A 23,776-nucleotide genomic window follows, 5' to 3' on the forward strand; every position below is an offset into this window, starting at 1 on the left:
AACAGGAGGGACTGGAGTTCACAGACTATGTGAGGTTAGGGTGACTCTTTTGTAAAATTCTTTGCATTTCCACAGCAGAGTGTCTGTGGAGAGTTGCAGCTGTGAGAGTGAAGTTGGCAGGCTGCTTGGAGCACACACCCCTTTGCCCATCAAATTGTGGGGAATCTAAGCTGACAAATTCTAGGGCTTTAAGTATTAAAGCTGATAAGGAGCGTTCAAAGGGGCTGAGGGGGAGCTGGCAGCTTTGGCTCCTTTGAGGGCAGGTGCAAGTCCTCATGAGGGGGTGATGGGTACCATTTGGTCAATGAAACAAAATGGCCAAACCTGTGGCCAATCAGAGTTGAGTAAGAATCAAAGTGGAGGCATCCAGCCTTCCATTTGTCCATGCATTTTTCATTGAGGAATTTAATTGGCTGGCCCCAGGTGCTAGTTTTGAAAGTATGCCCTCTTCTTTAAAAATATGCTTACACCTGGCGTCAGGGCTCTTTCTACAGGCTTTGGATTAACCACTGAGCATCATATTTTAAAGCAGCTTAGAGAACATAGATTCAAAGATTAGTCTGCACACAGGGCGGCTGTTGGAAAAAGCAAGGGCATCTTCTTGCATGGGTGAAAAAAGAAAATCAGCCAGAAATTTGCACAAAGAAAAAATGTGTTGGTCTTATTCCCTCAGGGTCCAGTTCAGCCACCTGTTTGTTCACTGTCCTTGCTTGTCTGGCCACAGTGAGGTCGGCCAGGTCAGAGGCCTATCACCAGGCAGGGATCCAGTCTGCCTTGTTTTCTCTTGCTTGTCTGGATCCTAGCATGATGTCTGGCACATGCAAGGACCTCCATAATCATTTTCTGAAGGAATGAATGCCTGCCAGGACAGATGTGTCCACGATTCAAGCATGCATGGGAATAGCGTTAAGCAGAGGGGGAGAAATGAAAAGTCCATTTTATGCAAACTTGGGGTTGAGACTTGGCTGTCAGTTTGATAAGCATTACAGTTAAAGTTTTCTAAGCACTTATTGTGCATCAGACACTGTTCTAAACCCTCCACATGGATGATCTCCTTTAATGCTCATGTCAAAGCATGGGAGTTAGATACTATTGTGATCTACCCTTAGATATCCATACCTAGCAACATGCTGAGACACTGGAAGTTAAGTAGCATGCCCAAGATCACATAGCTCATAAGTGATCGGGCCAGGATCTGAACCCAGGAAATCAGATTTTATAACCCCCATTCATAGGCCCTGTATTATGTATTTAGAGCAGTGGTTCCCAGTCACCTGGAGGGCCAATTAGAACACAGATTGCTGGTCCCTCCCACCCCTCCAGAGTTTCTGACTTTGTTCTTCTGAAGTGGGAGAATTTGCATTTCTTACAAGCTCCCTGGTGATGTTGATGCTGCCGTTTCAGGGATCACAATTTAGGAAATATCATTTAGGGGTAATACCAAATGTTGGTGACTTAACACCATTTCAGTTTACTTGTCGCTCACATAAAAAATGTGAACGTTTCTAGTTGGTGAGTAGTATTCCTTCATGTAGTGATTTTAGAATCCAGATTTCCCCTATCGTGTGGTTTCACCTTTCCCTAGGTTCCGATAATCACCGGCATTCAGCTGGCATGAAGTGAAACCATAGCAAGATGAAGGCTTCTTAAAAAATTTGGTCTGAAAGTGTCATACACGGCATCTGCTCACATTTCATTGGCAAGAATTAGTCCCATGACTGTACCACTAAGAAAGGGTAGCTGGGAAATGTAGTCCTTGTGTGGATAGTGGCTTCTGAATCCCAACTTTAAACTACCATAGAGGGAGCAAGAATTCTGGTACATAGCAAGCGAACTCTGCCAGAGACGATAAGGCATAGTGCCTCTATGTCAAAACATGTAGGCATCAGCTATTGAGAGTTCAGACAATTGTTTTTTCCAAGTCAGAGAAGTGGTGTGCTTTGACAATTTGTTCTAAGACAATATGGAAGTGAATATTTCTTACTTCTGCTTTTGCTATCAGCATGTCATGGCCAAAGATAGGACTTAGATGAGTGTCTAAAGCAGAGATTCAATAAAATATAAGCAATGCGTGTAAGCCCTGTGTGCCTGTGTGTGTATATATATATATATATATATATATATATATATATATATAAATAATTTTTTTTCTGGAGAGTCCATAGAATCCATCAGATTTTTAAAGAAAATGGAGACCAATAAACATAGAGAACTATAGTTCTAAGAGAACATGGGTTTTTCCTGACCACTCAATCTCATTATCTCATTATCTCATCACTGTGAACTGCATCCTTCTTTTTATTTTATTCCTGAAAATTATCAGTAACTGATCATTTACTTTCTTGCGCTGAGAGTGATGGCTCATGCCTGTAATCCCAGCACTTCGGGAGGCCGAGGTGGGTGGATCACTTGAGGTCAGGAGTTCGAGACCAGCCTGGCCAACATGGTGAAACCCTGTCTCTATTAACAATACAAAAATTAGCCAGGCGTGGTGGTGCATGCCTGTAGTCCCAGAGGCTCGGGAGGCAGAGGTAGGAGAATCACTTGAATCCAGGAGGTGGAGGTTGCAGTGAGCCAAGATCGTGCCACTGCACTCCAGCCTGGGCGACAAGTGAAACTCCGCGACAAAAAAATACATATGTATATTATTCGTGTTTTCTTATTTGTTTCCCATCTGCTTCTCTGATTTGAATGTCGGCTGTGTGAGGGAAGGGATTTTGGTTTGAGAATACTTTCCTCACTGTAGTATTCTCAGTACCCAGTGCAGTATCTAGTTCATGGTAAGTGTTCAATAAGCAATTGATGCATAGATGCTTGGAGTAACAAATATGAATTAAAATATCCTAGTATTATGTTTTGGAGTGCTTGTACTCAAGATTGGTTTTTAAAAAGGAGGGCTTCTACTTTGATTACAGCCACAAGTGGGGAACTGCAATTAACTTACAATCACCAGTTCTATCAATATTAATCATATTTTTCAATGAAAATAATAGCTAGCATTTACTGAGTGCTTATAACTTTCCAGGCACTGTGCTAATCTTGGTTAGGAGCTTTTGTTTAAACAATTTATCTGCAAAGCAGCAAGCTCAATAGAAACACCTCGACTTTTTTTTCCTACAGTAAGATCACTAAAGAATTTTAATCCTTATAGATTAGGCAGACATGGCCTGTGCAACCTTAAACCATAGCCCTGTCCCTCTTGTTTTAAGCAGCATCTAGCAGAACTTTTATAGAAATGTGTGTTGGGTTTGTTGTATATCTTTAACGCTCAGCATAACACTTTTTTTTAGGTCCACATCTGTCTACAATCACCCTACGACCCTATCCAGTGACTGGTGGTGGTGGAGTGTAGAGGATTGTTGGATACTAAGAATGACGATGGGGAATTATGATACTATGGAGTATGAATGCTAGATCTTTCCATCATGCAGTGCACACATAACATGCCTATTTATTTATTTCAAAAAATTGTCACTGATGGGTAAACTCAGGTAGATTATTATCGTTGTAGAAGTAATTCAGCAAAAGAAGAAACTCTAGATCTAGCAAACAATGGGGTGTTACCCACCTCTGTTTCCAATTCATTTTATTAAGTAGAAGAACAATAGCAAAGAACAATCACTAATCAATAAATATTAATTGAATGCCTATTATTTACCAGACACTGTTTTAGCCTAAGATTCTAGAAGTAATTAACTCTAATTTAATATAGACCTCTGATCTGAAGAGGTCTATATTCCTTAGTGGAAAACAATACAAATCATTTATTGACATTTATTTTGGACATAGGCATTGTACCAAACACTTTATTAATATTAACTGATATCAGTTAACTGACGTTAACTGGTTTAATCTTAATAACAATTCCAGAAAGTAGGTACTGATATTCTTCCCATTTAAAGGCCATAAAACTGAGGTTCACGGAGATTAAGCAATATGCCTAAGGTCATTCAAACTTAGGTCCAGATAGCTCCCAAGACTCTTTTATTAACCACTATGTTGTATTGCCACCATTTGTTTGTTATTAAATGAAGGACTAAATTTCTCATTAAATTACCAAGAGTAGATCTGTTAGCTATTGCTGCATAACCATCACCAAATCCCAGTGCCATATAACAATAAGCATTTATTCCTCCCATATCTGCAGGTTCCTTGGGGACAGCTCTACTGATCTCAGCTGGGCTTGCTCATATGTGTCTGCAGATTGCCTGGAAGTAGGTTGATCTAGGCTGGGCTTAACTGAATAGCTTTTGCATCAAGTTTTAAGTCCTCAATCCAGTTGGCTATCTCTGCTCTGTGCATCTATAGTCCTTTTGGGACCAATGATCTATCTAGGACATGCACTTCTCGTAAAGATTGTGAAGGTGGAAGAAGACAAGCCATGTGGTGCAAGCACATTTCAAGTCCTTGTTTATGTCACATCTGTTAACATCCCATTGGCTGAAATAAGTCACATGGCTGAACCTCAAGTCAATGGATGAGGAAGTGCACTTAGTGTGTACACTTAACTGCAAAGTTAGATGGCAAGGGGCACAGATAGAGGAATACAGTTAAAATCTAAGCTGATAATTCAATCAACTACAGAGTAGAAGATAGTTTTTATTATAGAGCTGCTGCAGGAATTTGAAACATGGCTATTGAAGTCTTAAACTCTTTTTCTAGAATTTAAATATAAGAACTCAATCAGCAAAGTGACTTAGAACATACAGATGTCTGTCATAGCTTTATTCACTCACACCAGCAAACAATTGCAAAATACCTGTGTGTCAAAAATTAACAATGATTAACTTAATTACATCTCATTTATAGACTGGAATATTTTGTAGTTATTAAAAGTTTTGTGTTTTGGAAAAGCATTTAAAAGAATAAATTGCATATGATATAAAGTTGAGTGGGAAAAATGCTGGATATAAAACTGCAAAGGTAATATGATCTTAATTGGTGAACATTCAACACATAAACACACACACAAACAACATATACACGCAACATATACACACATACAGACCAAAATAAAATTGACAAAAATAACAGTGGCTATCTCTAAGAGATGCCATTAAGGTTGACTTTAATTTTTTTCTTTAGTCTCTTTTTTAATGCCAAATTTTTTTATAATGAGCAAACTCTATGAACAAACCACACAAGATGTGCTACTTTAAAAAATCTGTCAAAGACACTAATTTTGAGTGGTCTGAAAAGTATCTTCTATAGAGAAAAGTCAAGTCACCAGCAAAGATTATGAAATAGAGAAAAAAATTACAATGAATGGTGATATAAATTGGGCATTCAACGTAATCAAATATATTGTGGCATATGTAAATACTTCCAATTTATAATTTTATAGACGTCTCAACATACTACACACATAAACAATTTTGATTGCATGGGACAATTATACACGCAGATTTGGAAGTCTAAAGTTGATCAATATTATCTGGATGGACAATAAGCTCATAATGTAGCATAATGGATTTTTAAAATGCAGCATAAATCTGCTTTAAAAAGTATCTAGGCAGCCAATATTAAGACACAGCCACCAGTTTCTAGACTGTGACTTCATGTCAGCACCTCACAGAATCAGCAAGTGCAGGAACTTACACAATGAGTACCTTGCTATGGGGCAGAAAATAAGTTCCTAGGATCTTGTTAAAGTACCCTTGTATTCAAACTGACAGATCAGGATGGTTGTTTTTCTTTTTAAAACAGGAAAGAAGATGGAAATGTTCAACCAGGCTCCTTCTCCCAAAATGTAGAACTAGTTTATGGAAAAATACAAAAAGTATGAGTTAAGGAAGGCGCCTTTTTAAGCAAAAGCAGACAGATGGAGTGGCTGATGTACAGACAGACTTTGGATACATCAATTAACGAGAGCCATTCATTCTAGCAGCTCTAAGCCTTTGTCCTTGTGGAAAGTGGGACTGCTTTCTGAGGCTAAAGCAAATAAATTGGATGGATTAATCCCTGAATTGGAGGCCCAGGAAATAAAGAAGTCAATAAAGGAGAGCTTAGGGTACATTACTATTTAGTACCCCCTCACACACTTTTTAAAAGCCAACTTGGAATTTTGTTGAGTTATTCATCCCTACTGCTCTTCTGCTTCTGACATCTTAAAATTAATAAGTAATAAAAACAGATATAGAAGCTAAAATAATTTCACATTATTCACGCATGTATTTATTCCTGCCTTCACTGAATATAATTGCCACACACCTACTGTGTTTCTGGCCCAGATGGAAGAAACTGAAGTTATGCTTTACATGCTGTGTCATTTTAACATTCTCAAAATCTCACTAAAAATGGGATCCGTTAGATCAATTCAAGAATAGATAAAACCAAAACAGAACAAAAATACCAGCAGAACCAAAGGTAACTCAAAGATGCTGCACCAGTGTAGTTAGCACACTCAATTCAGTTCAATTCAATTTGTAAAAATAAAGTTAGAAGGGTTCTTAAATAACTTTGACCTTAAATAACGACATTCAGTCTTTAATCCAGTTTGAGTGTTTGTCGAGGAATCCTGCCATAAAAATGTTTGACTCTCTGTAATTGGTGGTTGGGAAGATTAGAAAGACAGTGAATCTTTGGTACCTATTTTCTGAATTGGGTGAATGAATGAAAGAATAACTGAAAAGTTAAATATTGTTAATAAAGCCAGATTTCTTCACAAAGGGTCCAGACACATGACAACCCATGATGTGGAAACGATCTAATAATAGCAAACGATGACAAGCATTTAATGAGTTCTTATTATGTCCTAAGCATCATTCTAAGTTACTCCACATAAGCTAAGTTGTTTCATTCTCACATAATAACTCTATGGGATAATAGTACTATTATCCCAACCACATTTTATTATTGAAGAAACTGACACACAGAAGGAGAAAGGTCACAAAGTTAAGTGTGGCAATCAGAATGGACGTGCATTGTCGCCCAGCCTTACTATTATCCTCTATATCCTCTCATTATTTCAGTCAATTCCTTCAATAATTATGTAAAGTATAATTTAATCAAAGAGAAAACTAAGCTCAGAGAAGTGACCAAGGTAGGATTTGAACTCAGGACTAAAGTCTTAACATTTCTCTTCAGTAAGGTTATCTTCACACTCAAAGCCATTATCCCTTATGGAACTTTTGGTAGTCAATCTAAAATTGTTCCTTTAGAACTTTGTACAAGAGATCATTGTCATCCTGGGTGTTCTTTGTATTCTTCATACTAGAAATCCATAACACGCCAAATGCCCTTAGAACCATGGACAGCACCCAGGTTTTACAAATGTCTTCTCCAGGCTTCAGAAGGAAGGTGGTGGACATTCTTTCCATCATGACACAAACCAACAATTACATACCAGGCTTTGTTGGTGAGAAAGCAAGGTGGCCCACCTGGAGATTTATGCCGAAACAACCACTTTACAACACAACCCACGGAGTCCTTGACGTTGGCTTGGTTTGTCAATCCCACCACCTCATACCATTTAGAAACTTATCAGCTATTTCTAGATAACTGGGTGTTTTAGTTTCCTGTAGATAAAACTGAAGGCTAAATTGAATATATGACTAAGTTATTTACTATGAGGAATCTTAGTCCAGGAAAACCTCTCAAAATACACAAATGTCTGAGAGATGTAATATATTTAATTAATCCCTTACTCCTTTTATTTTTATTTTTTATTTTTTCAGAGACAAGGTCTTGCTTTGACACCCAGGCTGGAGTGCAGTAGTGCAATCAGAGGTCATTACAGCCTCCAACTCCTGGGCTTAAGTGATCCTCCTGCCTCATCCTCCCAAGCAGCTGGAGCTACAAGTGTGCACCATCATGCCTGGCCCCTTTATTCCTAAACGTTTCTTCATGAAGGAAGATACAAATTTACATGAGCCCATGCTCTTCACATGGGTAAGGGGAAAACAGAGAGAACTCACAGGGCACCCACATATTGTGCTTTATCATTTGACCTAGGAACAGTCTTGAATAGGCAGCTTGGGTTTCTACTCCCAGAAAATACTTTGACATACATTAATTTATTCACTTAAAACTCATTATTTCCTGGGTTTCCATGCAGTGTCTCTGAAACTCACTCTTCCCCCTTTATTCTCACAATATTGTAAATATCCTTAATATAATCTATCCTGCAATTTCTTATTGCTGCATGCCCTCCTTCCTTCTTGGAGTGTGAGCTCTTTGGTGACAGGGACTACATATGCTTTCTCATCCTTCCAGCACCTGTAACTGTTTCTGGCATATGTCGAGTAATCGATAAAAAACTTTAAGATCTGCTAATGAATCAAGTTATCGGTGATTGTGCCTGGTATCTTTCATTTATTTATACATTTATCTGTGTGTGTATTTGTACATCCACCCATGAATTTATCAAAGCATCATCCATTCATTCACCCACCCACCCATTTTTCTCCATGATCTCACCCCATTAACAATTTGTAGAAAATAGTCTGACAAATTCACCCAAAAAGGCAGTAAAGGAAAAGGATTTTCCATCCATTATCCATTCTTTTTTTCTGCCTTAATTTTCCTTTCTACCATCTCTCCTGCATATCTCTTCCTCTGTCTCTGGAGAGTTACAGGAGTGAAAACGAGATGGGTCCTGAGAGTTGGTATGGGGAGTAAATTGCTTGGTGACAGCTTGGTTCCAGGGACGGATGAAAACCTTAGCCTTAAGCAAAGTTCAGGGAAGCCCAAGGAGAGAGCTGATGGACAGTCTGACTTGTTGAGGGTGAAATCAATTAAAGTACATCAAATCCAGAATTCATGCTTTCTCAGAGTGACAAATCTATGCTGGAAACTGAGAAAGACGAAAGGAGAAAATTGCCTTTGACCTTTTGAAGACCGGCTGTTCCTTCTGTCAGGGGAGCCAGGCCTGGAGTGAGATGCGTTCATGATGAATTATAACAGCCAGCCACCTTAAAAAAGAACGGGGTGAAAAGGTTACCAAAGAGAACCAAAATGTGAGGAATTCAACCAAACATCAAGATAAATCAACTCAGGGCCAGGAGTATTTGTGCCATGCCTGCTCAGAGCCGCTATGGACAAGCTCAGTTTGTTAGTTCAGCTCTTTGAAGCATGATATGTAGACACACTTGCATGTTCACACACATTGTTTGCTAAACTGTGGGAAGGTAATCAGAAGAGAAGAGCCACGAGGTTGTCAATCTAGCATCAGAAATTTGGTGGCATAGGATTTCTCTACAATGCTGTCCACTAAAACTTTTTGTAATGATGAAGATATCCTATAGCCAAGCTGACCAATACAATAGACATTAGTCATATGTGACTGTTGAGCACTTGAATATGGGTAGTGAAATTGAAGAACTGAATTTTTATTTTTAGATTTTAATTATTTTAAATTTAAGTAGCTGCAGATGGCTAAAATTGAATGGTGAACTTCCAGGACAAAGGATGTTTTTGCCTTCAACAATATCGGAAAAGCAGGGGTGAGTGGAATGTCAGATTGCAATGCAATTGCTTGTGTTTCTGCGGAGTTCATGGAAGAAACTCATTATACTCATTTGTAATGCTTGATGGTAAATTTGATTTTCTCTTTAGAATGTAGAGATTAAATCTTGGTTTAAAACTGCCTCTCTGTGAGCAGTTTCTCCATCAGTGAAACGGGTGTAATTTCAACTCGTTGAGAGTGCTCAGTTATGCAATATATGCAATGTTTCTTATCTGTGTCTGAAAACAGTTAATAAAAGGTTGCTGTGCTTGACGCTATTACTATTATTAGTATTGTGATTTAAAAACAAAGGAGGTTGTTGGTGAGAAAACAAGTTGTTCCACCTGGAGATTTATGCTGAAATAACCACTTTACATCACAACCCACGGAGTCCTTGATGTTAGCTTGGTTTGTCAATCCCACCACCAGATACCATTTAGAAAATTGTCATCTGTTCCTGGATAACTGGTGTTTTCGTTTCCTAGAGATCAAACTGAAGATTGAAGAACAGAAATCATTTGTTGACAATTGTCCTAGTTTCTTACTGGTTCCTCACTGAGGGGAATTTTCCAAATAACTATGATTTGCATTCTTCAGCATCCAGATTAATATTACCTTTGCCAAATTTGAGTCATTTTGCCTGAAAAGCATTCTTACCAAGTTTTACCAAGTTTTAATATTTCCTGTCTTTAGAAAAAAAATATACAACAAGACTTAACCTTTTAAAATTTTTTTCTGAAACACACACACACACATCCATATGCACACAAGCACACACACACACACACTTACCCAGAGGCATAAAATTTACATAACATAAAATTAACTTTTGGTTGCTTCCACCTTTTGGTTAATGTGGATAGTGCTGTTATGATACAATAAGCTGTTCAATAATTCGTTTCAGTACCTGTTTTCAATTCTTTTCGGTATATACCTATGAGTAGAATTGCTGGATTGTATGTTAATTCTATGTTTAACATTTTGAGGAATTGCAAAACTGTTTTCCATAATGGCTGCATCATTTTACACTCCTACCAGCAATGTAATGCTCACCAACACTTGTTATTCTCCTTTTAAAAAAATTATAACTATCCTAGTGGGGGTGAAGTGGTATCTCATTGTGTTTTTTTATTTGCATTTCCCTAACAAGTAATGATATTGAGCATCTTTTCATGTGCTTATTGGCTGTTTGTATATCTTATTCAGAGAAATGTCTATTCAAGTTATTTACTTATTTTATTGCCTAATTGCTCTGGCTAGAATTTCTCATGCAACATTAAATGGCAGTGATGAAAGTGGACACCCTTGCCTTATTCCTGATTTTAGGAAGAAAGCTTTCAGTCTTTCATAATTCTCTGTGATTCTTACTGTGGGGTTTTCATAAGCGTTCTTTCTCAATTTAAGGAAATTCCCTTCCATTCCTAATTTTATGAGTATTTTAAAAAATTATCAAAGGTATTGGATTTTGTCAAATGCTTTTTCTGGGTTGTATGAGATTACATATTTTTTCTTTGTTCTATCAAAATGTTGCATTACATTGGTTTTCTTTTTCTTTTCTTTTTTTTTTTTTTTGAGACGGAGTCTTGCTCTTGGACTCCTTGAACCACCCTTGGACTCCTGGGGTAAATACCACTTGGTCATGGTGCATAAACCTTTTAATAAGCTGTTGAATTTTGTCTGCTGGTATTTTGTTATGGATTTTTGCATCTGCATTAATTGGTGTGTAATGGCATCTTTGTCTAGTTTTGATATCAGGGCAATATTACATTCATAGAATAAGTCAGCATGCATTTCCTTCTCTTCTCTTTTTTTTCTTGGAAAAGATTGAAAAAACTTGATGTTATTTCTTCTTTAAACATTTGGTAGAATTCACAGGTGGAGACATAATCTTTTTTTTTTTAATTCAGTCTCTTTACTTGTTGTGTTATAGGTTTGTGCAGATTTTCGTTTTCCTCTTGAGTCAGTTTTAGTAATTTGTGTGTTTCTAGGGATTATTATACTTCATGTAGGTTATATAATTTGTTGGCATACTGTTTGTTGGCATGTTGTTCATAGTATTCTCTAAAAAGCCTTTTTATTTCTGTAAGGTGGATAGTAATGTCTCCACTTTTATTTCTGATTTTAGTTATTTGCATCTTTTATTATTTTCTTTTCTGTTTTTTTTTTTGTTGTTGTTTTGTTTTTGTCAGTCCAGCTAAAGGCTTGTCAATATTCTCAACCTTTCCAAAGAACCAATTTTTGGTTTTGTTAATTCTCTTCATTGTTTTCCTGGTCTCTTTTGTTTATCTCTTCTTTTGTTTTCTTCCTGTCATTATCTCTCTTCTTCATCTAATTTTTAGTAAAGTTTGTTCTTATTTTTCTAGTTCCTTAAGATGTAAAGTTTGGTTATTAATTAGAGGATTTTTCTTTTTCCCCTCCCTGAGATGGATTCTCACTCTGTTACCCAGGCTGGAGTGCAGTGGTGTGATCTCTGCTCACGGCAACCCCCGCCGCCTGGGTTCAAGCGATTCTCCTGCCTCAGCCTCCCGAGTAGCTGGGACTACAGGCAGCTAATTTTTGTGTTTTAAGTAGAGGAGGAGTTTGCCATGTTGGCCAGGCTGATCTTGAACTCCTGACCTCAAGTGATCCACCCACCTTAACTTCACTCCCAAACTGCTGGCATTACAGGCGTGAGTCACTGCGCTCAGCCTAATTAGAGATTTGTTTTAAAGAAGGTGTTTATAGCTATAAAATTCTCTCTGAGCACGGCTTTCACTGCATCCCATAAGTTTTGGTATTTTATGTTTTTGTTTTCATTCGTTTCAAAATATTTTACAATTTTCTTGGGATTTATTCTTTGAGTGTGTTGTTTAATTTTCACATATTTGTGAATTTTCCAGTTTTCCTTCTGTTATTGATTTATAGTTTCAAGTCATTGTGGTCAGAGAAGATGCTTTGTATGATTTCAGAAGTTTTAAATTTATTGAGAATTCTGTGTGGCCCAATAGATGGTCTATCCTGGAGAATGTTCCATGTGTACTCCTGATCCTGTTGGGTGGAATGTTCTATATATGTCTGTTAGGTATATTTGATTTATGGTGTTAAATCATCCATTTCTTACTGATCTTCTATTGAAGGTTCTATTCATCATCAGAAGCGAGGTATTGAAGTGTCCAACTAGTACTGTAAAACTGTCTATTTCTCTCTCAATTCTTTCACTGTTTTTCTTATATATTTTGGGGCTTTTGTTATTTTGTGTGTATATATTTATAATTGTTACATCTTCTTGATGAATTTACTCTATTCTCAATATATAATGACGTTCTTTTCTTTGGGGGTGGGGGGTCTGCTTCTGAGAGTAGATAAGTCTGGTCTCTTGGCCCAGCCTGTCTCCCTGGGGTATGGTGGGGAAGGGGTGTCACATTTCCTCTTTGCTCTCTTTCTTTACTCTTGAAAGATACCATTTTTATATTTAGCTTCCTCAATGAGTTTTTGGGTTTGGGGACATTTTCTTCAGATGTGATAATCTTCTACACTAACTGTGGGTCTCTTGTTCCTATAAGTTTAAACACTTAATTCAATATTCTCTCTCTCTCTCTCTTTCTCTTTCTGTCTCTCTTTTTCTTATTGCTTTTAACCAGATATCACTAGCAATATCATTAGTAAGAGTCACATGTGAGCCTAATTATTTGCTTCTCCAAATATATACAATAAATTTGAAATTGTCTTAAACCAATAAATCTATTTTTCATGTCAGACTTAATTTTAAGTTTTATTTTAATTTTAATTTACACATAATGCTTGCACATATATAAGGAGTACAATGTGATGCTTTGGTACATATATACATTGGTACATATGTACATATACGGTACATTTGGTACGTATTTATACTGTTTATATATATATATATATAAAACAATAGGTAATTAATTTATTCATCACCTCAAACATTTATCATTTCCTTTAGTTGAGGACATTCAAAATCCTCTTTTCTAGTTATTTTGAAATATGCAATACAATACAATATTGTTAACTATAGTCACCCTACTGTGCAATAGACCACCAGAACTTATTCTCCTACCTATCTGTAATTTTGTTCCTACTGACTAATCTCTCCTCATCCCCTACCCTCCCCAGACTTTATTAACCACTATTCTACTCTGTACTTCTATGGGATCAGATTTTTAAAATTCTTCAAGTGAGTGAGATCATGGAGGTATTTATCTTTTTGTTTCTGGCTTATTTCACTTAACATAATGTCCTCTAGATGCATCCATGTTGCCATAAACGACAGAGTTTCAGTTTTTTTTAAATAGCTGAATAGTATTGCATTGTGTGCATGTACAACACATTTTTCTTATCCATTCACCCATTGATGGCACTTTGATTGAATCACTAGGCTTTTGTGGACAGTGCTGTAATAAACATGGGAGTGTAGATATCTCTTTGACGGACTGATTGCATATCCTTTAGATAAATACTCAGTAATGGGATCGCTGGGATCATATGGTGGTCCTGTTTTTAACTTTTTGAGGAACCGCCATACTGTTTTCCATAATGGCGGTACTAATTTACAGTCTCACCAACAGCATGTAAGAATTCCCATTCCTCCACGTATAATGACCTTTATCTCTTGTAGGAAGTTTTGACTCTTTCATCTGATACTAGAATAGCCACCCCCACTCTTTTTTGGTTACCACTTACATGGACTATATTTTTTCCAACTTTTCACTCTCAGTCTATTTGCATATTTAGATATAAAGTGAGTCTGTTGTAGACAATATATAGTAGAATCATTTAAAAAAAATCAATTTGCCAATGTCTGTCTTTTGACTGAAGATTTTAATCCATTACATTTAAAGTAATTACTCATAAGGAAAAACTTACTTCTACCATTGTTATATATATTTTTTATATAGTTTATATCTTTTTTGTTCCTATGTTCCTCCTTATTGCCTTCTTATGGTTTAATTGATATTTTGCAGTGAACCGTTTTGATGCCCTTCTCATTTTCTTTTCTGTATTTTTAAAGATATTTTCTTAGTATTTACTAGGAGCATTACATTAACATCCTAAATTTATAAAAATTTAGTTTGAATTTATATCAATTTAGCTTTAATACCATACAAAAACTGTTTCTATACAGCACTTCTCCTGTCTATGTTATTATTGTCACAATGTATTGTCTTAATACATTGTGCACCATCAATACAGATTTATACTTACTGCTTTCTTTGTTTACCTAAAAAATTCTGTAGCATTGAGTCTCTTAGTATGACTTTGAGTTACTATCTAGTGTCTTCATTTTTGCCTGAAATACTCTCTTAAGCAGATTCGTAGGACAATCTACTAATGAAAAACTTCCTCAGCTTTTGTTTATCTCAAAATATCTTAATTTTTTTCTTATTTTTGAAGGATAGTTTGCCAGATATAAAATTATTGGCTAACAATCTTTCCCACCTCACCCTTTTTTTCAGCACTTTAAACATGCCATCTTGTTGTCTTATGGCCTCCTTGGTTTCTAATGAGAAACTGGGTGTTTCTGTTATTTGAGAATCTCTCATAGTTATTTCTCTCCTCTCTTTGTCTTTGTCTTTGTCTTTTGACGGTTTGATTACAATGGGTCTTGGATGCCTTAGCATATATCCTTGTCATTCATTGGGTTTCTCTCAATGAAACACTTGTCTTGTGTAAACCCTTGTCTTTTATCAAATTTGGGAAGTCTTTAGCCATTATTATTCAAATATCCTTTGTTCCTCTTTCTTTCTTCCCTCTCCTTTGGGACTCCCACTGCACATATGACATTTTAAGGTGTTCCACAGGTCTCCCTGGCTCTGTTCATCCTTCTATATCCTTTTTTACTTCCTGCAACTCAGACTGGATAATGTCAATTGACTTATTTTCAAGTTAATTGATTCTTTCTTCTGCCTGCTCAAATCTGCTATTGAAATCTTGTCATAAAATTTTCATTTTATTTATTTTACTTTTAAACTCTAGAATTTCTCCCTGGTTCCACTTTATATTTCCTCTTTACTGACATCCTTTATTTGTTAAGATATCCTTCTCTTGGTATCCTTTGGCTCTTTTTCCATGTCTTAAAAAAATCTGTTTATATTTAAGACAGTTGGTTTAAAGTTTTTATCTGGTTTGACATGAACTGAAGTACAATGCCTGTGCTTCCTCAGGGGCAGTTTCTGTGGCTTTCTCCCATTCATGGTCCATACTTTCTTCTTTCCTGCAGGCTTAATCATTTTGTTGTTATTGAAAACTGGACATTTTGAATATTAAAATGTAGTGATTCTGGGCATCAGATTCCTCCCCTTCCTCAGAATTTGTTTTTGTTGCTTGCTGTGGATTGTAGCTGTTGATTTGTTTAGTGCCTTTTCTAAACTATTTGTGTACATTCTGTAGTCTTTGTAATGTGTTGCCTCTGAAGTCTCTTTCTTCAACTTGTGTTTGGCTAGTATTTTGAAAGAAATTTCCTTAAGCCTTAGGAACTCCCTCCCTCAAAGAAGAAAGAAAGAAGGAAAAAAGAAAGAAAAGAAAAGTACACAAATTATCCCCGTCTTTTCAGATTGGCTCTGTATTGGAACATACTTTTAAGGTGTAGTCAGGCCATTTACAAATTAGCCTTAGCTTTCACTTCCTGTTTGTTCCAAGCCTAAATATTAGCCAGAGTTAAAAACTTATGAAGACCATAAATTAACAACTTATAGTCTTTTCTGATCATGCATCCTAACCTGGGAATGCACATGGACTAAATTCCCAAGTATATATGATGGCTTTTGAATGCCCTAATTTCCCAAAGAAACTCTCTCCTTAGCTTGTCCTCTCAGGCTTCCTACACATTTACCATTTGCCTCAACTGTATCTTTCATCCTAGCCAACAGTCAGTTGTTCATTTGCTTTATAATGTTTTGAAGAAATGTACTCTGAGTAGCTACTTTTCTGCCCAGTTCCAATTTGGGCATAATAAAGACAAGCACCCTGGTCATTCCTTCGGGTAGCCCCCAGACAAGTTAAAACAGACAAACATAATTCTTTGACAGTAAGGTCTACTCTGCATCCCTTAAAACCAGAACCATGGTCCCACCCTTGGAAGACAGCTGTCATTTTCAAGACCACCACCAAGCAGAGAAAGAGGGTGGGGCAGGGCAAGGAAACAGTCACAAAGCTTTCCTACCATTCTAAAGTTGCTTTTACAAAATTTCGCATTTGATTAATTGTTATAAACCTTTGACTATTTCCCAGAGCTCTGAAAATGTTGAGTGTGCCCATTTTTGCTTGATCTTTCAAAGCTGCTGTAGGGAGACAGGTCCTTGGAATTACCTGCTTCATCAATTTCACTGATATTCACCCCCAAAGAACTAATATTTATTGTATGCTCAGGGGTCCTTCTCTACCTCAGTTACTGTGTGGTGCTGAAACAAACTCAAGGATGCCTACAAGTTCAGATACAGAAGCCTACTTCTCTTACACCAAATGGCCCTATATACTTAAGATTTATGTGTGTTTGTGAGTGACTTTTGGAGTTCATTATCTTTTTTCTGTGTTAACATCCATCTTTACAGCAGTATGTAATGGGCTTCTCTAAAAGCTCTTTTGTTCTCCCACTAGGATGACCAGCTGTTCCTGTTTGCTGGCATCCACGCGGTTTCCTGGGATGCAGGACTTTCAGTACTAAAATCAGAATCTTAGGCTAACCAGGATGGTGGTCACATTAGTTCCCACCTGACCACACACACACACACACACACACACACACACACACACACACTACTATAATGTGTTGCTTTTGATATAAGTAGTTCATCAAGCTGATTAGAAGTTCAGCCAATTTCAGGCTCTTGGCTGTGTTTCAGATGTATGTGTGCATTACCTAAGTGACCTTCAAAATTACTTTCATGTAAAGGATAGAATACTGCAAATAATAATTTGCATATGCCTTCTATAGAAATGCAGACCCTTGATTATTTTAAATTTCCTATTAGAGTTTAATTTTGTTTACTTTTCCTGAAGGCCATCCATTCATCTACCCTCACTTTCATCCCAACATTACTGGCTCTAGAACACTCTACAATAATGAATTCTGACTCTAGAACAGAGGTTCTCAATGGGAGGTGGGCAGTTTTGTCCCCCAGGGAATCTTTGGCACTCTTGGTTGTCACAGCTTGGGGGAAAGCACTACTGGCATCTAGTGGGTGGAGGCCAAGGATGCTGCTTGACATCCTACAATGCACAGAACAGACCCCACCATGATCATCTAGCCTCAAATTCCATAGTGCCGAGGGTGAGAAACTCTGCTTTAGAAGAGTACATGATGATATAAGTAAGGTCAGCAAGACAGTTACAATAGACTTTAAAAGACTGGCCAGGCACAGTGGCTCATGCCTGTGATCCCAGCACTATGGTATCACAGGAGCTGGGGCAGGCAGATCACTTGAGGACAGGAGTTCGAGACCAGCCTGGCCAACATGGTAAAACCCTGTCTCTACTAAAAATAAAAAAATTAGCCAGGCGTGATGGCACCTGCCTGTAATTCCATATATTTGGGAGGCTGAGGCAGGAGAATTGCTGGACTTGGGAAGCAGAGGTTGCAGTGAGCCATGATTGCGCCACTGCACTCCAGCCTGGGCAACAGAGCCACCATCTCAAAATAAATAAATAAATAAATAAATAAATAAATAAATAAATAAATAAATAAAGCTCTATGGAAATGTTTTCCCTTGTGTTTTAGCTTGTTCCATGTGAAGCAACCTTTCTGCTCAGATATTCCCTGGCCTGCAATAGAAGCTCCAGTTTGGGCTTTGGAAACTCAAGTCTCAGGTACATTGAGGTCCAAATCACTTGCCACTTCTTTCGTTTACCAGAACCTTTTGTTGCAACAAAAGAGTAGGAGGCATACACCATGTGTTTTTCATTCATTTATGCTGAAATCATTGTAACGTTTCATTTTTTATGAGCCATTTGATGTCCAAAAAGCCTTTTGAATCACATTTATAACCCTATAAAAAACTCATTCCTCTTCGAAACAGGAAGCCACTTTGTGAGCAGAGTAAACACACTCAAACCCTGGAAGGTGGGAGTTGAGAGGCTGCAAATGCCTCTGGGAGCCTCTGCCAGGGGTGAAATGCCTTGACTGCCCCTGAGGGAACCTCCTTGTGGCCCTGGCAGGTCAGAGGGGCCTTCTCGGCTAAGTCAGAAAGCAGAGGCCTGAATGGGCTCTCCAGGGTGGCCTTTGTAAAGGTCTTTTGCCAATAGGCAACTCTCCTTGGACAAACACTTGTGGTTGGTGACCCTCTTTGCAGGAGAAAGTGTGCTTGGCTGATTCTGGGCCCTCTCTCTGCATTTCCTCGAGATGCTCATCCTCTACAGGCCTCTGTCCTCTCATGTATACAGTGAAAAGCTTGGACCAGGTGATCTCCAGTGGCCTTTCCAGCTCTTGTGAGCTAGGCCTCTCTTTAGATCTCAGAGGATTGCTTCAGACACAGAAAATTCATGGCACGCTCAGTACCACTCTCCCATTCAGCATCCATGACAGACATCACTAGTTGATAACAATAGCCTTTTCCACTGCCCTCAGGTATGAATTCGAAAATCTCTTTTGACAGAGTTCTTCAGGGAGGCTCTTACAATTGTGTAGCATTGGCAGCACACACAAGAAAATGGACCAATCTACCAACCACAGACCAGGTAATAATAAAGAGTGTAATATCAGTTTCTCTAGAGCAGAGGATTTAGCCAAGACCCGAGTGCATAAACTTAGGAAATAAAATGCAAAGTAGGCCGGGCGTGGTGGCTCACACCTGTAATCCCAGCACTTTGGGAGGCAGAGGCAGGTGGATCACAAGGTCAGGAGATCGAGACCCTCCTGGCTAACACGGTGAAACCCCATCTCTACTAAAAATACAAAAAATTAGCCAGGCATGGTGGCGGGAACCTGTATTCCCAGCTACTTGGGAGGCTGAGGCAGGAGAATGGCGTGAACTCGGGAGGCAGAGCTTGCAGTGAGCTGAGGTAGTGCCACTGCACTCCAGCCTGGGTGACAGAGCAAGACTCCATCTCAAAAAAAAAAAGAAAGAAAAGAAAATGCAAAGTAAAATCAAATCAAGTGAAAGAAAAGAAAAGTAAATAAAAACTAAAGCTGAGAATCACTTGCTGCGTGACCTACAGTAGGTGATTGACTTCTCCCAGTCTTGGTTTTATGACCTATCAAAGGGTATATAATAAAGCCCACCTTCTTATTTTAGTTTCTTTCTTTGCCTTCCTTGTTTATTCAGTGTTTTTTTAATAGTTGACAAAGTGTATTCACATTCATCACAGTAATGACAATGTCCTATATCTTTAATGCTAAGACACACTGCTTTTCATATTCTCTTGTTTCTGAAACCAAGATGAGTCTTACAATCATTGTGCACAGTTAAGGCACCCAAGTTTCCTATTTTCCTCCATAAAACAAAAGTAATTTTTAAATCCATGACATTTTAGAACATAGTATATTTCTAACAGCAACCCAAGTACGTCACAATAGCCTATAGAGTAAGTGTTATTCACATTATACATATCAACATCTTAACATTCTCCTTCTAGAGATGCAGAAACTGAGACTCTAAAAGGTTCTCTTGCTCAAGGTCAGAAGGCAGATAAAGGACAGAGTTGGGATTCGAACTGTGCGCTTTCTGATACCAAGCTTGCTCTCCTTACCAACTTTCTCAGTTTGACCTCACATAACCTTGTGATGGGGCAAGAGACACCCTGCTCTTTTTCAGGTGCAACCATGGATACCAGGACCATAAAGTGCCTTTGTCTTGGGGTCACTTCGAGAAAACATTGTAGATCCAGGGGCTCTGAGCTGAAGAGGAAAAACCATCATAGTGTTCTGTAAGTTATGGATGTTAATCTCCCATTGTTTGTTGGCTCCTATGCTGAGGACTGCTGCATCCTTCCGAAGTTTTAAGAGGCCCAAGGGAGCCGGGGAGGAAAGAAGCTTCAACTCGTTAGAAAGTTTAAAAAGATGTATTTTCCCAGGGAGACTTCAGCAGATGGTCTGTGACATTTGTTCATTCATTCAAGAGGCAGCTATTGAAAGCCTAGTCAGGTTCAAGACACTTGGGTGAGTACTGAGCTCAGAGGGGTGGGGGTGGCAGGTAGACGGCACATGAACTTATGAAGTAGCAGTGAAACAAGTTGAAAGGGTACCAGCTTGGGAATCAGTCTCAACTTGAGTTGAAGGCTAGTTTTGCTACTCTCTAGCTGTGTGACTATGGGTACATGACTTCACTTCTCTGTGCCTGGATTTTTTTATTTGTAAAATGGGGATGGTGATAGAAGGCTACTCATGGGCTGGTCGTGTGGCTTACTTAAAAACATGTGTGTAAGACGCTGAGCTTATTGTCTTGCACATAATAAGCACTCCATAAATATAGGCTGAAACCATTTATTTATTCAACAAATTTACTGAGCTTCTACTGCACACCAGGCACTGTTCTTAGCACTAGATAATAATGCTGATATAGCCTGGATGTTTGTCCCCTCCAAATCTCATGTTGAAATAGGATCCCCAGTGTTGGGGATGGGGCCTGGTTGGAAGTGTTAGGATCATGGGGCCGGATCTCTCATGAATGGCTTGGGGCTCGCAGTAATAAGTGGGGTCTATGGGTTCACGTGTGAGAGCCATTTGCTTAAAGGATCCTGGTACCTCCTCCTCTGTCTTGCACCCTTCTCTCTGGCTCCCTCTCTCACCATGTGACATATCTGCTTCCCCTTTGCCTTCTGCCATGACTAAAAACTTCCTGAGACCTCACTAGAAGCTGAGCAGATGCTGGTGCCATGCTTGTACAGCCTGCAGATCCATAAGCCAAATAAACCTCTTTTCTTTATCAATTACCCAGTTTCAGGTGTTCCTTTATAGCAACACAAAGTGGACTAACACAAACATCAATGATTATTATTGCCTCAGGGCAACCTACAGATCTAATCTCCTTAGACTTCACTGAGGTATCATGCAAACTGAGTTGGTTCTCAGTCCAGGAGGTGTGTGTGATGGAGTTACCAAGCAGAGGCACCTGAGAATCTTGAATTCCCCAGCTGGAGAAGGTGGCCCCACTGCTGAGTAGAGGAGTGGGTTTGTGGATTCCTAGAGAGAAAAAAGGGGATGAGGCATATCATACCCTATTTCAAGGGCTGTTCAAATCACTTGTTCCTCTCAGTTTTCAATACTTAGAGTCTTTTTTTGATTGAAATACAAAGAAGGGATGGTGGACTGTGCGGGATAAGGCCACAGCCTGGGGCAGGAGGTCCTTCAATCCACTTTTAGCTCTGGTTTTGCATCCTCAGTCTTCCACATCTGCATCTGGTCCCATCTTGATGAAGTGTGTTCTTATTTTGAATTTGGACTTGCTCCCTCCTGACCAGTGGTGATGATCACCACATTGATGTTGCAGATAATGATGAGGACATTGATGTTGTAATAGATGATAAAGATGATATTGTTATAGATGATGATGATGATGATGATGAAGATGATGCTGATGGTGATCAATTGCCATGGACCAGATGCATATCAACGCAATTTTACATATGTTCTTCCTAACCCTTGTAACAACTCTGCAAATTAGGCCTTACTGTTGCATGTGGTAAAGCAGAAATATGAAGCTAAGAAAGGAGATGTGACTGTTCCAAGGCCACGTCACTAGGAAAAGACATAGCTACTTGCATACCTAAGACTCTCACTCCAAACCACTCGTTGGACCACTAAAATTCTAATATTGTATAGTGTTTGCTAGACAATCTTTTCAGAGCTTTCCATGTTTTATCTCATTTAAACCCTACTAACTCTTTGAGTTAGGTACTGATACCATTTCTATTTCAAAGCTGCAGAAAAAGAGGCAGAAATGCATGTAAATTGGCCATGGTGAGATAGCTGGTCAGTGGTGGATCGTAGATGTCTACCTAAGCAATCTGACTACAGAGTCTGTACTTTTCATATTTTTATTTTAAAATTACTATGTCTTTAAACCATGTGCAGTACTATGTTTTTAAGCCATGTGCAGTGGCTTATGACTGTAATCTCAGCACTTTAGGAGGCCGAGGTGAGAGGATCATTTGAGCCCAGGAGTTCGAGACCAGCCTGGGCAACATGGCGAAATCCCATCTCTACCAAATAAATAAATAAATAAATAAATAAAACAATTAGCCTGTAATCCCAGCAACTTGGTAGGCTGAAGTGGGAGGATTGCTTGAGCCTGGGAGGTTGAGGCTGCAGTGAACCCAGTCAAACCACTGCACTCCAGCCTGGGAAACAGAGCAAGACCCTGTCTCAAATAAATAAGTAATATGCAAATAAAATAATGATGTCTTTATTTTTATGGATGTCTAATGTATATACAGCAACGCGCACACATGTTATGCGTCATGGTTAATTTCATGCATGTGCGCATCTACTCTAAACAAGTCAGCTTTTAACCCACTAAGCCATGCTGACCTAATCCCCAGAGTTCAGTGTTGTCTTGGGATTGTCGGACACAATTTAACACACCCAGATTTATCTTCTACACATATTCGTTATGTTAATATGCAGTCATATGACACTTACTATGTTTCAGACAATGCTCCAAGCAACTTACATATATGAACTCGTGTTAGCGCTATAAGGTTGCTACTATTCCTATAATCATTCCCATTCTCTAGGTGTGAAAACTGAGCTGTGGAAAAGTTAAGTGACTTACCTAAGATTACACAACTGTTGAGTCTAATTCACACAACTGTGAATTAAACCTGGAAAGTCTGGCTCAAAGTCCTTCAAATGCTTCCTTAAATACACACATAATTTCGACCAAGAAAGTGCTGTTATCAATCCTACTTTATAGACCCAACAAGGTTAAAATAACTTCCACAAATACCTCCGCTAATAAGTCACAAACCTCTACTGAGATCTTTACTGATTTCCAAGTGTGTGCACTCCACTACCGTGGTGAAAAAAGTCTGAACATCTTTGCTGTGGATGGGAATTATTGATGTACTTTTTTATCCCCTTCTGGGAATCCCAAGTTTATGCAGAGTAGGAGTCCACCTTATTGGGTCTTTGCCATCTGCAGTTACTGGTCCTGCACCACACACTCTAGTGAAGCCTGGGAGAGGAAGGAAGGCTCTAGAAGAAACGTGCTTGCTGTTCAGGGAAGCAGACCCCTGGCACCACTTTGCTGAGGCCATGACCAAATAAATGCTTGTCTGTCTCCCCACCTCACTTCTATACACCCCCCTAAGCGCCTGGGTCTACCTTTCCCTAGCGTTTCCTGGGGGAATAGTAAATCATGAGTTTCCCATTTTCCTCCATCTCGAAAGGATATG

General features: G+C 38.6%; 1 long non-coding RNA gene across 2 annotated transcripts in view, besides 1 other annotated feature; it reads left to right on the forward strand.

Moving 5' to 3' along the window:
- Nucleotides 1–23,776, forward strand: part of LOC102723639 (uncharacterized) — a 92,097-nt gene that overhangs the window by 29,408 nt on the left and 38,913 nt on the right. Inside the window, exons 2-4 of one of the 2 annotated variants that reach the window (XR_007063588.1) lie at nt 18,165–18,253; nt 19,011–19,120; nt 20,197–20,308. The exons of the other annotated variant lie outside the window; for it this stretch is intronic. This is a non-coding gene — a long non-coding RNA (uncharacterized LOC102723639). The remainder of the gene's footprint in view (nt 1–18,164; nt 18,254–19,010; nt 19,121–20,196; nt 20,309–23,776) is intronic. 2 annotated transcript variants of the gene reach the window in all.
- Nucleotides 7,202–7,402: a silencer, noted in NCBI's record as "peak1978 fragment used in MPRA reporter construct". NCBI's record gives its function as "represses an SCP1 promoter by STARR-seq MPRAs in K562 erythroleukemia cells {active_cell/tissue: K562}" and the evidence as "EXISTENCE:reporter gene assay evidence [ECO:0000049][PMID:32103011]".

Source organism: Homo sapiens, chromosome 12 (genome assembly GCF_000001405.40).
Source record: "Homo sapiens chromosome 12, GRCh38.p14 Primary Assembly".
Taxonomy (NCBI): Eukaryota; Metazoa; Chordata; class Mammalia; order Primates; family Hominidae; genus Homo; species Homo sapiens.